The 15,582-nt window shown below is 35.1% G+C and overlaps 1 protein-coding gene across 4 annotated transcripts in view, besides 1 other annotated feature; it reads right to left on the reverse strand.

Annotated features, from left to right (window-relative positions):
* The window catches only part of LSAMP (limbic system associated membrane protein), a 643,114-nt gene that overhangs the window by 541,547 nt on the left and 85,985 nt on the right, over positions 1-15,582 (reverse strand). The window lies entirely within an intron of this gene.
* Positions 2,501-2,672: a silencer, noted in NCBI's record as "fragment chr3:116065268-116065439 (GRCh37/hg19 assembly coordinates)". NCBI's record gives its function as "represses an EF-1alpha promoter that drives an FKBP-Casp9 reporter gene in an ReSE screen in phorbol 12-myristate 13-acetate-treated (for megakaryocytic differentiation) K562 erythroleukemia cells {active_cell/tissue: K562(+PMA)}" and the evidence as "EXISTENCE:reporter gene assay evidence [ECO:0000049][PMID:32094911]".

The following is a 15,582-nucleotide window of genomic DNA, read 5'->3' on the forward strand; positions in this document are numbered from 1 at the left end:
ATAAGACTGTAAATGTATTATTCCTGAGTAAAAGGGAAACTGGATAATATATGAAAATCTCCTTGTCACAATATTTAGGTAATATTCATGGAAAAAGAAAATTTTCATGAAATACAAGGAATTAAACTATAGAGTAATAAGCTCATCATGTGGGTACCAAAAGCAAGCAAATAAAAACTTACCTGGCTCCTATGGAAGCACGTGAATAATGGCACCACCTTTTCCCAAATGCCGAGTAGCTCTGCTGTATGGATTGGCTACAAGTTTTAGGTCACAAATGTGCTGAACTTTCTCCTTAAAAGCCCAACTCTGCTGTGATTACACTGGTACAGATAAGAGGCATATATGAAGATTAGATTGAAAGAAAGAAATTGTAGAAGAAAATGCAAATAACCCAGAAATCCGTTAATCACTTAAGGCCTTGGGGTAAGAAAAATCTAAGTACAAAGCAGAATAAATGATTAACAGCCAAAGATGGAAGAAGGGGGTGATGAGGGGGAGAACATTATTTTAATTTAATTGCATGCAAACTTGCAAGGAGATTCCAGAAATCATTCAACAGAAAAGATTTTATTATACTCATAACCCTACCTTCACCATACCCTATTCACTAAAGAAATCTCCTGCCTCTAGGCTCTTCCACTCTACCTCCTTTAATTGTCACATCTGAAAGCACCTGGTGCCAACACGTAAAAATCACACCCCAAATGATCTCAACTCTAATTCTCATGCAAGCTCTACAACCATTAATCTAGACACAAAATGTGTTAGGAGCTTTCTATGCATATTTAATCAATACAACAACCCAAAGAGGTTAAGTATTATTACCCTAATGTTAAAGAAGAGGAAACTGGGAGGATAAATATTTACTTAGTCAGTCTAGCACTGAGGTTCAAAGCCAAGTTTGACTAACTCCAAAGTTTCCAGCAAGAATCAATGAAAAAGAGATAGGTTTCTGTAAATCCATTTAGATCCCACTCTTTGATTTCTATATTATTCACGGTAGGCATTCCTTAAAACTTGTTTTGATCTCCTTTAGGATATAAGCAAATAGATTGTAATCCCTGTGTGTATGTATGTGTGTGTACCTGTTACATATTTGATTTGTTTAGCACATATTTATTGAACACATAATTCTGCACTATGTACTGTGTGAAGGACTGTGGATAAAATAATAAGGATGCCCTCTGCTCTCATGGAGATTACTATTTGTCTGCTTTGCTTGATGAGGCAAGATTCCTTAAAACCAAATAGTAGCCAATGTACAAAAAAAAGGAAGAGGTTTGATTCTTAGTAATTTATTAAAGAAAGAAAATGTGTGGCTACATAACAGAGCAACTGAGTATGAGATATCAACCTCCCATTACTACTGTTGTCATTATCATTATACTATAGTTATAAAGTAACTTAATATTGTAAAAATGCAGAAATTAGAATTCTGCAGGGCTGTCAACCCCTCAGAGCAGGGGTCATCTGGAGAAATGAGAGGAACTAGATATCGGCCCTGTAGTTCAGGACTTGGGGTGTATCAATCTTCTCTTTTCTGTAAAGGAACAGATAAATGACTACCTAATGTACATGGCAATCATTGGAATGGTATTTCTCCAGTAAATTTCAGAAACTACAACTGGGTGGATACTTAGTTACATTCAGTAATAAAACTGTTCATAATTTCATTGATTTTTAAAATTTTATTTTTTAGATATTTATTTTTCTCCAGTTTCATAATAATGTTATTTTTTAGAACTTCTGAGATTTGTTTGGGTTTTATTTGTTTGTTTATACTGACCTAAAGAAGAAAAAAATATATTTTGTTAATATCTAGCCCAGGAAGTTTCCCTAAAATTAGATATAGCAGTGTCGGTTGCTAGTTCAGCTACTGGGCCTAGAGAAGCTCAGGCTCTTATGTGATAAAACAAAACAAGACAAAACCAAAACAAATAAACAAAAACCCAGAGAAGCAGAAAAGAGAATTAGAGATAATCATAATAATTACAGACTGCTTCCGACTAGTGTTTTCCATTACTGTGAATGCCATACTTGGTAAAGAAATAAATACGGTGTGCCATGCACATAATCTAAAGGCAGAATCTGTTCTGAAATGAGATGAAGGAAGAAACCAGGGTATATTCTACCAATTAAAGTGTCTGGGTGCAAATTATTAAAATTACTATATATCCTAAAAGGATTAGACTCTAGAACCTCAGTCAGAACTTATGAAAATATAAACTAATTTTTTCATTGCAAATAACCATATCTCCATTTCAAGAAGATGGATTCCGCTTTGCATTGTTATATGTTTCTGCTAATAAGATTTTAAAATTTTATGTGAGCATACATGCCCAATAAGATTTTTTTCTCTTGAATTCAGGAAACATGATTTTTTTTTCTAAGGGTTAGTTTTATCTTTTTTTTTTTTTCTTTTTGTGACAGAGTCTCATTCTGTTGGCCAAGATGGAATGCAGTGGTACCATCTCAGTTCACTGCAACCTCTGCTTCCCAGGCTCAAGCGATCCTCCCGCCTCAGTGTCCACAGTAGCTGAGACCACAGACGTGCACCACCACACCTGGCTAATTTTTGTATTTTTGGTAGAGACTGGGTTTCACCATGTTGTCCAGGCTGGTCTCAAACTCCTGAGCTCAAGCAATCTGCCCGTCTTGGCCTCCCAAAGTGCTGGAATTACAGGTGTGAGCCACCACCACATTACAGAATTTTAGAAGTAAAACAGTTGCTAGAAATCCTTGTCTAACACCTTCATTTTTCAGAATATGATACTGAGTACCAGAGGGGCTGTATGTGTCGACACATGTCACATAGATATTTCAGGCAGGCCTGAAAATTTATTCATTCAACAAACATTCATTAAGTACTTCCTATGTGTCAGTTTTGTTTCTACACATATCCTAGAGCAGTGGTCTTCTAACATATCAAGAGTCTTCTCTCACTCAACACCTTTGAATCCATATGTTTATTTATCCGCCAGAGTAAGATTAAATAGCACAACTCATCCCTCTACCCCTAAAATCAGTTTCTGGACTTAATAAATAAAATGATAAAATGATTTATTTATGTAATTTTGAAAAATATACAAATGATACTCGGTCTATGATAAAACACTAATACAGAAAACCAACTATATACAAATGTAGGGCAAACCCAGAGTGTTGCTGGAACAATATACAGCAAGTACATTTTCTAATCTTGCTTATGGCTATACTTTGAGCATTAAAGTGCTGATACTTTTATACTTAAATAAAACCAAAGTCATAATAATAACAATCCTTCCTTCTATTCACTCTTTATGACAGGAGCTTTGATGGTGAGGGCCAACCTTTTGCTTGTGCATACAGAACTTGCTTCTTCTTCCCTATCCTAACCCTTAACTTGAAGAAGTATTTTCACGGTTAGTAGGTCAGTCAAATAACTGCTTCAGAAAACAAATATTGGCTCTCACCAGACTTACAGGCAAATTAATTTTGGTCTCATTTAACATGGTCAGGCAGCAACTTAATGTGTGTATAGAGAATTGATAGTAACTGTGGTTGAAGGATTTGATAACTTATATCTGATATAAACTTCCTTGTGCTCTCTTTCTTGTACTAGCTAGTTCAGTCACTGTCTCTCTCTCCCCCAACCCACCCCATTTTCTTTTAAAATATTTAGATATATTTGTTTTCATGGAATTCAAGAATTTCTATTTTAGAATAACTATGAGGCAGAAATTGTAGGTAACGTGACAGTAAAATAAAAGGGTAAGCACAGGAAAAACCAAGAGGACGGGACCATGGCTCATGGTGTATCCACACTAGAACTCACGAAGCCCACAGCCAACTTCAGCTCATCTTTTGCTTTTATTTATATTCTTATCAATCAGAAATAGAAATATTATATTTTAAAATGAAAGAATATGGCATGGTAGAAAAATATCGAATGAGAAAAGGGAAGAGGGACAAGGAAAGACAGATATAAAAAGAGAATGAGATGAAAAATACTACTGCCCATCACTTAGCCAGTATTTTTTTACAAGCAAATTTTGAAGCATCAATGTGGGAAAAATAAAAAATCAAAATCTGGGGTATGTAGAGTGACTATACATCTCTGCTTTCCAGGAAAGGTCTCGGTGTATATCTGGTACTCCAGCATAATTATCGGTAGCAATCCTTCCACTCTCGAAATTTCACAGTTTGAACCATCAACTATACAGTCACCCTAAGGATAGAAATTATTCACGATAGGTTGGCAATTTTACAATTGAATAAATTTGGTCTCATTTCTCATTCACGACCTGTTGTTTGTAATATAGACCCCTTTGCTAAGGGATCATACTCTCTTCATGCCTCGGTACAATGAATTTGATCCAGGTCAGAATAAACTCAGCTGTAATTGCATTCTTGAAAACCTCTCATATGGCAGAGTAAGTGAATAAGGAACCCATACCAAAACAACAGCCCAAGTGTATTTGGCATTCTGATTTCACTGTCATGCATTTACCTTCCTTTTTCTTTAACAAAGCACCTGACATTCAAGGTTTGTTTCATCCTGTCCTATGAGAAGGAAGGGGAAGCGGTGGTTACAAACAGCCTCATTGCTAGGAATAGGCATTTTTTAAATCCCTGTAACCTTAATAGTAATTTAGAGGCCATGACTGTGTAATCACCAGAAATTAGCCTTCATTTCCATTTCACCGAAAGCATTTGTGACAGACATTTTTTACCTGTAAAGCAATATATACAAACTCGTATTAATTCCCAACCACAGAATTAATCCTCACTAGAAGCTGCATTCAAAACATCTTTTCTTTTAACCTATTACTTCTGCAAAAATTTAACACATCATAAAATGAGATGATAATATCAAAAATCTCCTGAAGAGGATAAAGGGCAACAAATACTTTTATTTATTATTGGTGACACTCTTATTTATAGTTGGTGACAAAATTAATATTCGGAAATTACCTGGCCAAAGCTATTACTTTTAAAATATGTATTATCTTTGACAAGCCAATCCTACTTTTGTAATCTGTATAATTTTTAGGAAAGCAGTATCTTGGTTCAGACTGATGGAATTTCAATCTTGGCTTAGCTTCTCGGCAGACCTGTGACACTGGGCAAGTTACTTACGCTTCCCTCAGTTGTATTCCACTGAATGTGGATAATATCTATATCTAATGAATAGGACTATTGGGAAAATTAAATGAGTTAGTGGATTTAAAGTGTTTAGAAAAGTTCTGCACTAAAAGCAATCAATAACAGCTATTATTATTATGCTTTAGAAATAAAAGCACCAGCACACAAGGATAATACTGAAAGTGTATTATATTGTTTCTCAATTTAAAAAATGAAAACAACTGGCTATCCATCAATATTAGAATAATTAAGTATGATGTGAAGTCCATACTGTGGAATATTGTGTATCTCAAAATTTAAAAAATATATTAGATATGTGTCTATTCTTCTTGCTGGATTTTTTTAATATGAGAAGCAAACTGTACAGTTATTTACTTAGTATCATCATACTTTAAATTAAAAAAGAAAACAGAATAATGACCCCCCCCAAAAAAACTACACACACACACACACACTCTCTCTCTCTCTCTCACACACACACACACACACTCACATATTCCTTCATAATTTTTTAGCATTTACTGTCAGGCACTGTTATAGCATTGGGTTGCAGCAGTAAACAAAACAGACACAAATATTGACCCTCACAAAATATATTCTAAGGTGTGAGGACTCTCTCACACACAAATAAATGAATAAATAAAATATATATTATATCTGGTGCTAAGTGTTACAGGAAAAAAATAAAGCAATGTAGTCACACGCCTGGGATTTCCAATGAGGCAACGATGGTTAAGGGAATACTAGCTTCACACAGGGTGGTGAAGAAAAGTCTCTCTGGGGAAATAAAAAAAGAAGACGTTTGGGCATAATCCTGAAAGATATGAAGAGGTGAAGTATATTTACATGTTTTCTGAACATGTGCATATGTTTGTATATTTTGTGTGAATATGGAAGGAAAATATATGCGAATATACCAAGTTGTTGAATGTATTACATTTAATTACTTCAGGGAGGCTACATGTTGGGGATGTAAAGCTGGAAGAGGTTTTAAGTGTCTTCTTTATACATTTTTATTTGTACATATGTTACTTTGGATATTAAAATAATTGATTAAGAGGATTAGAGCTAATAAATAAAAGAGTAAGTGGAGGATGGAAATGAGCCCACGAATCAGAAGAATTAATTTCCAGTCACAGCACATAGCAGGTACTAAATAAATGTCAGTCTAAGTAAAATTTGACTGTATTCTTTCACCATTTAAGTATTCTGCAGATAAGGGCATCTGAGCCCTGCAGAGGTACAACTATTGGTTAAGGACACACAAATACTAATTGCTGAAACTATGTACCCCATATGACTGTCCTCCTTTATCTGTGGTTTCACTTTCCATGATTTCTGTTACTCTCAGCTGCAGTTCGAAAATATTAAATGGAAAATTCTAGAAATAAGCAATTCATAAGTTTCAAATTGCACTGCATTCTGAGTATGGTGATAAAATCTCAGATCAATCTTGTTCTGTCCTGCCTGGGACATAAATTATCCCTTTGTCCTGCTCATCCCTGCATTAGTCACTTAGTAGCCATCTCGGTTATCAGATCAACTAACATGGTATCACAGTGCTTATGTCAAGGAACCTTTTTTTTTTTTTACTTAATAATGGCCCCAAGGCACATAAGTAGTGATGCTAGCAATTTGAACATGCCGAAGAGAAGCCATAAAGTGTTTCCTTAACATGAAAAGGTGAAAGTTCTTTACTTAATAAGAGAAGAAAAATTGTATGCTGAGGTTGCTAAGGTCTATGGTAAGAAAAAATCTTCTATCCGTGAACTTGTGAAGAAGGATAAAAGAAATCCGTGCTGGTTTTGCTGTCACTTTAAACTGTAAAAGTTATGAAGTGCCACAGTGCATGATAAGTGCTTGGTTAAGATGGAAAAGGCACTAAATTTGTGGATTTGGTATCATCCATGGTTTCAGGCGTCACTGAGGGTCTTGAAACATTTCTTCCACAGAGAAGGAGGGATGACTATACCCATTTTTGCCAGGGGATTTGCCTTTATAACATCCTCGGTACTTTTTGTAAAGAAACCTCTTTTTTTTTCAGCCCTGAAAGTTTCAATAAACTGCCTGAGAGTTTATTGAAAGAGTTTGCATAACGGAGGAAGGATTCAAAAGTTCGGATTTGGGGGAGTAGAATTGAAGAAAGAGCTGCATTGCTGAGAGTGAAGGCAGTGCACCTGCTGTGTCCTACATACACTACCATTGATTAGTTTAAATTTCTCTTTGTTTATTTCCCACACCCTACCTTCCAATGGAGATGCCATTAAATAGGAAAATGATCAAAAGCTAGACATGTGAAGGGAGAAGATACAGAATGAGGACACCTCAGCAGCATTAGTCTCTGAGTAACGGAGAAGTAGCTTTGGAACCTGACAGGGGAATGGCAGGAGAGTTCACCATGGGTATGTTGGAAAGGGATTCTGAAGAATTTTCCAGAGTCAGCAGCATATTCACATATGTACCCATACATTCTGAGCTCTCACATTACGTGTAATTATATTCCTTGTCAACTCAATACAGTAAGAGCTCATCAGCCTGGACTAAACAGACTCTTCCCAATAATTATAAGAATACTCCACTGGAAACTACAGAATGGATGGCGGTGATGAACTAATTAAATGAATAGAAGCATAGCCCTAGAAACTGTTGTCTGTTTATCTGGAATGCAGCTGAAATGTGAAAGATTCTTTTGCTATCCAGTATCATTCCCTTCAAACTAGCTGGCTCACACGTAATGTGAATAAATACATTTGGAAGTCTGGAAATCTTCAACGAAGTTCAAGGAAATATTCAACTAGAAACCAAACAAAAGTATATCTCATTGCTTCTCAGGGACAAATATCAACTAACTCCTTATTTCAATGTATTAATATCCCCAACATGTGGATATATATCATCCTCTTTCAGTGAACAAAGTGTGTAAAATAGCACTTAGAATGTCAGAGGAAAGTTTAGTTAACCCTTCAAATATTGTGTCATGCTTCTTCATCAGCTCCACAGTTTGGTTAAAAGGTTCACCGCTTCACCGTATGTACAGGCAGTGGAAGGAGACACCAACTCTAGGTGTTTAAGCAGAAAGTTCCACTTCTTATAAAATGATTCCATGACTTCTCTGACGTTTCCACCACTAGGGTAGTCAACACAAAGGGAATCTTTAAAATCCACACATCACTCCACGAATACCTGATCATCATTGATGTGGAATTAGTTTATCATGGCAGCCAGCGGAGAGCAAAGTTCTAAAGTACATACTATGAAAGAGTTGGGTTGAGGAAAAAGACAATGAGATAGATTCAGAGCATGGGATCTTGCCATTCAACCCTAACTTACATGAGCCCTAAGGGACCTCATATGGTCAGTAGTGCAAAGAGAAACTGAAGGCAGCAAGAGAAGTCACAAGTAGAGACAGAAGAACTGAGGAAAGGCAAGCCAACCTCATTTACTTTATACTGTCAGCTAGGGAGAAAACTGAGTCTAATGATGGGTCGTTAAATAAATCTCCTTTGAAGTTTTGTGCTCTAATGTGGAAATAGTCTCTGTTAGATACACAGTAATAGTTCTTTTACCTAGTCTCTCCAGAGAATGTGATGTACCTCAAAGTAAAACATTCAAATAACTGAAAGTTATCTCGTTAATCTTAAAAAACATGCTTTTGTTTAAAGTTTTTCTTGTAACTAATTATAAAATATATCAATCACTTTCTTTAATTCATATGTATTTCACTTCAACAAGCACTTGCTGCATTGTATAATAATGACTTTTTTGGGGTGTCTTGCATATTTATATAGGGTTATTTGCCTCAATGTGAAAAGGCTCAAACACTTGTCCAAAGTTTATAGCTGTATAGTTTGTTCCCTGTGTCATTGGTTGTCTGAACAAAGAGATGTTTGCTTCTTTTTCTAAAATGTAGAATTTCATACCTAACTTCGTTAAGATTCTAAATACAGGTCAGCTTCCTCTACAACTCATTCAGCTGGGCTCTGTACCCTTAGAGTTTTCTCATTTGTTCTTGTGTTCAAAGACATGTTCTGGGTGGAAGTGATTAGCTAGGATCTGACCTCTGGATAATCAGGGTGGTATGCTTAAACAAAGACATTAGGTTCATGAGACAGAGATACAGCTGCAGGCAAACCAAGAGGAAATGAGGGTTAATAATACTGCATGCCTAGAAATATGACGAAGTTATAAAAAGGGTTAGGTGACCTAACTGGGAAAATTTAGACAAAGATAAATTTTATTCGTCTACTCTTTTAGTGAATTACTCAAAATGATCAATTAACTCTGGCTAGTTCTGCACAAGAGTTATAGTTGGAACCATATAATTATAGTACTTGATAATATTTAATTTAGAACTTTATTATAAACTGCCTTGGTATTGTTATTTAATTACTTCGTATGCAAAAGTTATGTTTTTTAAAAGGACCATGCACTTCTTGAAGACAGAGATCCTGTCTTCCCACCTAATTTGGGTTCCTCTACATCCTCCTACCCAGATAATCCAGTACGTGCAGAGTACACTCCATAATTCTGTACCGAATTGAAATGTTACATATGAATCTTCAAAATTAGGATAGTACAAACCTCTTTCCAGAACTATCTAGGCCAGTGACAATACAAAAAAATGGAGAGAAGAGGCAAAGAGTATAGGGATATTATATAATAAAATCAAACAATTCATTTTCCATCCCATATTTTAATATAATGAAATGCATTGATTTTATAATTTCCACTGAAAGTTTACATATATGAGCACGTTGACACAAACACTGGACTATAAATTATTAACCTACTTCAGGAAATAGTCGTTTGTATGTGTTAACTTAATGATTCAATTAAAATAAAGTTCATAAAAATCATTGTAGGAGAGCTTCTAAGATTTCCCAATTGCCTTTCCATTCAATGGTTTTGTAAAAAATTTTATTCTGAACTTGACAGCTATGAGCATTACTAATAGAGTTTGACTGAAGACAGTATTATCAGGATCTGCTAAAACCCTTCCCACATTTTCCTTTTCACCCTTGAAGCTGGAGTCACTTAATGCCAACATGGACTTTTAATTCTGATCAGGGGATATTTAAAAAGCTGTTAGCTAATAGAATAGTTGGTCTTGCTTAACCCTCATACCCAGATCTGACTTTAACTGATTGTCCTGTCTTTTCCAGTGTTCCAGCCATATACCCTCGGTTCTTTCCAAGACATCGCTGAATCAAAATCCAAAGCAGGTATTCCCAAGGTCAGACACTTCTATGCAAACTCCACACCTTATTGATGCTACCTGCCTCTTCATGTGTACTGCTATTTATAACCACCTTGTTACAAACACCTTACTTAGTTCAGGCCTTGTCATTTCAGCCTTCACTGTCTCTACTGCTATTGGAGACATGGCTCTGGCAATTACCAAAACATTGTTGTGAGTTAGTCTTTGTTGAATTTGCAGAATCATAGTCCCAGTGGCTTTCCCTTGGCAATGAAGAAGCTTAAATATTTCCTCATAGCTAGAATCACACAATTATAAAATTTTACAGCTCACAGAGATGAAGGAGATCCTTCAAGTTTAAAGCTGACTTGGGCATTGCATGCAAATGCAATGTTTTATGGTAGGTTGCCTTATAATCTGCCAGAGGAAAGACTAAACATATATCTACTACCTATGCATACTCAAAAGGAAGTAATAGGACCAGGATAGACACTGGGGTATCATCAATGGTTTTGTACTTCCAGAGGGAAATACAGAGAAAGTAATCAAAGACTTTAAAACTACATAAAAAGCTCTCTGTCTCTCTCTCTGGGTGTATATATGTGTGTGTGTGTGTGTGTGTGTGTGTGTGTGTGCATGTGTGTTATATTTTCTTGAGGAAGAGGGAATTTAGAAGACTGAGATGAACACAACATGTATATCAAATGGCATGACTGATTCTCCAACATTCCATTATAGATGCTGTTTGTTTATTACATAATAATACATAACTGGCTTCAACAGTGATTCAAATAAGTAGCTCATTGTATTAGCTATTGATTCTATAAAATAAAATCGATGACATAACATTAACTTGTTCTTTACCATATATATATATTTGTTTTTCACATTTATATGTGCATAAATATTCTGAGTTTTAAGATTTGAGTAATATCTGCAGTAAGGAAAAAAACAGCAAGCCAATTTATACAGTCTGCTTCACATTTTCAAGATAATTCTTTTCTTAAAAAAATAAGCATGCCTGCTGATTGGGAATTACTGTATAAAAATGTCTTATTTATTTGACAAAAGTGCAAAGAACATACATTGGGAAAAAGACAATCTCTTCAATAAATGGTCCTGAGAAAACTGGATATCCATATATAGAAGAATGAGACTTGACACCTGTCTCTCACCATATACAAAAATCAAAATCAGATGGGTTAAAGATTTAAATGTGAGACCTGAAACTATGAAATTACTAAAGAAAACATTGGATAAACTCTCCACAACATTGGCTTGGGCAAAAATTTCTTGAGTAATACTCCAAAAGCACAGGCAACTAAAGCAAAAATAGGCAAATGGATCACATCAAGTGCAAAGGCTTCTGCATAGCAAAGGAAACAATCCACAAAATGAAGAGAAAACCCACAGAATGGAAGAAAATATTTGCGAACTATCCATCTGATAAGGGATTATAACCAGAATATACAAGGAGCTCAAATAACTCTACAGGAAAAAATCTAATAATAATGGGCAAAAGATCTGAATGGACATTTCCCAAAGAAAACATACAAATGGCAGACAAGTATATAAAAAGGTGTTCAACATCATTAATCATAAGGAAAAATGCAAATCAAAACTACAATGAGATATCATTTCATTCCAGTTAAAATGGCTTTTATCCAAAACACAGGCAATAGCAAATTCTGGCAAGGATATGGAGAAAGGGGAGCCATGATAGACTGTTGGTGAGAATGTAAATTAGTACAGCCACTATGGAGAATAGTTCAGAGGTTCCTCAAAAAACTAAAAATAGAATTACCATATGATCAAGCAATCCCACTGCTAGCTATATACCCAAAACAAAGGAAATCAGTGTTTCATAGAAGAGATAACTGCATTTCAATGTTTATTACAGCGCTATTCACAATAGTCAAGATTTGCAAGCAATCTAAGTGTCCATCAACAGACAAGTAGATAAAGAAGATGTACATATTATATACAATGGAGTACTATGCAGCCATAAAAAAGAAATCCTGTCTCTGTAACAACATGGATGGAACTGAAAGACATTGTTAAGTGAAGTAAGCCAGGCACAGAAAGAAAAACTTCACATGTTCTCACTCATTTGTGGGAATTAAAAATTAAAACAATTGAACTCACGGAGATAGAGAATAGAATGATGGTTACCAGAGGTTTGGAAGAATGGAGGTGGTGGGAGTGGGTGGTGGGAAATGGGGAAGGCTAATAGGTACAAAATATAGTTATATACAATGAATAAGACCTAGTATTTGATAGCACAACAGGGTAACTAGTTAGCAGTAATCTGTTGTACATTTTAGAATAACTGAGAGAGTACAATTGGAATGTTTGTGACACAAAGAAATGATGAATGCTTAAGGTGATAGAAAACACATTTTTCTCTGTTGTGATTAGTAACATCATATGCCTGTAAAAAATATCTAATATACCCCATTAATATATACACCTACTATGTATCCATAATCATTTTTTAATTAAAAAGAAATCTCACTTAAAATTATTTTTCTATAGGAAGTCAGTTTCTTTCTTTTTTTTTGTTTTTTGAGACGGAGTCTCGCTCTGTGGCCCAGGCTGGAGTGCAGTGGCGCCATCTCGGCTCACTGCAAGCTCCGCCTCCTGGGTTCACGCCATTCTCCTGCCTCAGCCTCCCGAGTAGCTGGGACTACAGGCGCCCGCCACCACGCCTGGCTAATTTTTTGTATTTTTAGTAGAGACGGGGTTTCACCGTGTTAGCCAGGATGGTCTCGATCTCCTGACCTCGTGATCCACCCGCCTCGGCCTCCCAAAGTGCTGGGATTACAAGCGTGAGCCATCGCGCCCGGCTAGGAAGTCAGTTGCTTATGATGATAGACCTAATCAACACTTAGGTCCTTATTTTACCTTATAGCAAGATCATTGAATTGCCAAACAAGATTACCAGGTACGACTACCCCAGTATTACTTTTTAGAGTCAATGTGAAAAAACTATAATTTTATAATGAGTGAAAACCAGAATTCACTCATTTAATTAATATCTATGTAATTAAATGAAAACGCTGTTTTATTAAAAAGTAATTATTTCTAACATTTGCCCTGAAAAGTAAATGACCAGAATTTTCTTTGAGAAATAGGAATCTTTTGTGAAATTGTTGAAGACTCCCAAAGTCTCCTCAAGTTTAAAAAAGGCAATGCAGAATCTTGCTGAGGTTATTCCAAAGCATGTACAGATGACATCTGTAGGTTTAAACGCTAATTAAATAATATAATTTAAAACCTCGCACATGGTAACTAAATTATTCCCAGAATACTAGGTATAGAGGATTGCAAAATATTATCTACCCAGTACATTTTAAGACAATAAAAAAAGTTCAAATACAGAGTACACTCCTCAAAGAGATGATCTAACATGCAAATTGAAAAGTTTATTTTGAGACACATTTTATATATATGCTGCATAGGTTTTAGGTAAGGTTTACAACCATTGAGCCCAATTATCTTGTTCCAAAGCTAATATAAGTAAATAATAAATAAACCCTAAAAGGAAGAGTCTAAAAAGAATTTACATCAGTTCACTCTTCATTGAAAGCAACAGAAAATCTTCCCTGGGGCTTACATAAGGAAAACAATAAAACTGACTTGTTTTCGCAAACAAAGTAAAACACAGAATTAAAAAAAAAAAAAAAGAGGTTGAACACCTAGGTCTTAGGAAAGTAAAACACCAGGAAACTTTAGGAAACTTGGAGGCAGAAACTCATGAAGAATCTCTTTGGGTTTCCTCCTTATGATACATGAGTTCCAATTACTTTCTATCCTTGCATGAGAGTGCTTTGTATTCAAACTGCTGGGAAAGTATGTTTAGTCTAACCGCCTTAATCTAGATAGAGAATGCTTCATGGTTGACAGGCAGAATGTCACCAGGTAGAACATAGCAGTGTCTGTTCCCCAAAGAAAAAGCTAATTGCTTTTACTGGAAGGAGGGAAAAGAATTCTAGCAGGCCAAAAACACCAGAGCCCTCTTAGAAAGGCAACACAAGAATTTATTCTTCATTTTTTCCTCAATGGAGGTGTTTGCTGGACTTCAGTAGTGAGCAATATAGTAATATACAGTATATAGTAATATAGTTTGAGGATATATGGATATAGGGGAGTTGCTGGATGACAATAGTCTAGATGCCTTGGGAACACTGCATCTGAGGTTAGTGACCTCAGATGCGAATGCATACAAAAAGGAATGACCTAGAAGCATAAACCCCTCCCCACACTTGGACGGAAGAAAAGCTTTGTTATGCAAAGTTACATCTGATAGCAATTTTTTAAAACAATGAAAATCTGTTAAATATACTCATTACTAGAGTTTAATAATAAAATCCACCGATCGAAATGCTTTTTTCACTTTAATATGACTGATTTACTAGATGAAAGACATTCTATCTCTTTATGCATACTTGTTTCTACACAGAAATGCTGACTGAATCATTTGTACCATAAAGTACAAAAATGTGAGTCACTCAAATATCATATCTTAATGAAAGATACTACTGGTTTTAATAACATTTTTAAAATGGTAATATGTACAAATAGAAAGCTAAAAATTGTTAATAGAACAAACATGTATTTGGTAATTATTCTCCATCAAAAAGTGTTTTTGTAATAATATAGAGTACAAAGAAATAGTTATTTGCAGTTATAAACTTTGGATTGCATTTAAATGTGGGCCTATTTGCCTTTGACATCTTCACCACGTATAAAATCTGTGGGTTATTTTTGTCATACTAAACTACACTAAACCTAGTTTCTACGAAAGAAAAGTTTTCTTGATTTGACCTTTCTATATGTGGTTACTATAAAATATTATGTTTAAAATTATTTATTAAACTTATTGAGAACAGAGTTTATGATACATACTACTTTTTGGTTGAGTCTTTTCTAAGATAAAATACATTTGTACTATGTGTATAATATATTTTTAATTAATCAGTCCATCAATCAATAAGGAAATATTTTCCCTTGAGTTAGCAGGTAGTGAAAAAATATAAGTTTTGTATGTGATACCAACTCAAAAAGTGTTCAAATAAGATCAAGATGCTGAAACTTTTCAAATGATGATGATAAAAAAATGCATAGGCTTGGCCTCTCTCCAACAAAGCAGTATGGAATCATATCCAGACCAACCATAGACATCTTGGTAAAACCGACTGGATGTCAGAAGCGTAGCTGGTTCCAATGTGTAAATGTTGCATAGCCTATGCATTAAG

Source organism: Homo sapiens, chromosome 3 (assembly GCF_000001405.40).
Source record: "Homo sapiens chromosome 3, GRCh38.p14 Primary Assembly".
NCBI lineage: Eukaryota > Metazoa > Chordata > Mammalia > Primates > Hominidae > Homo > Homo sapiens.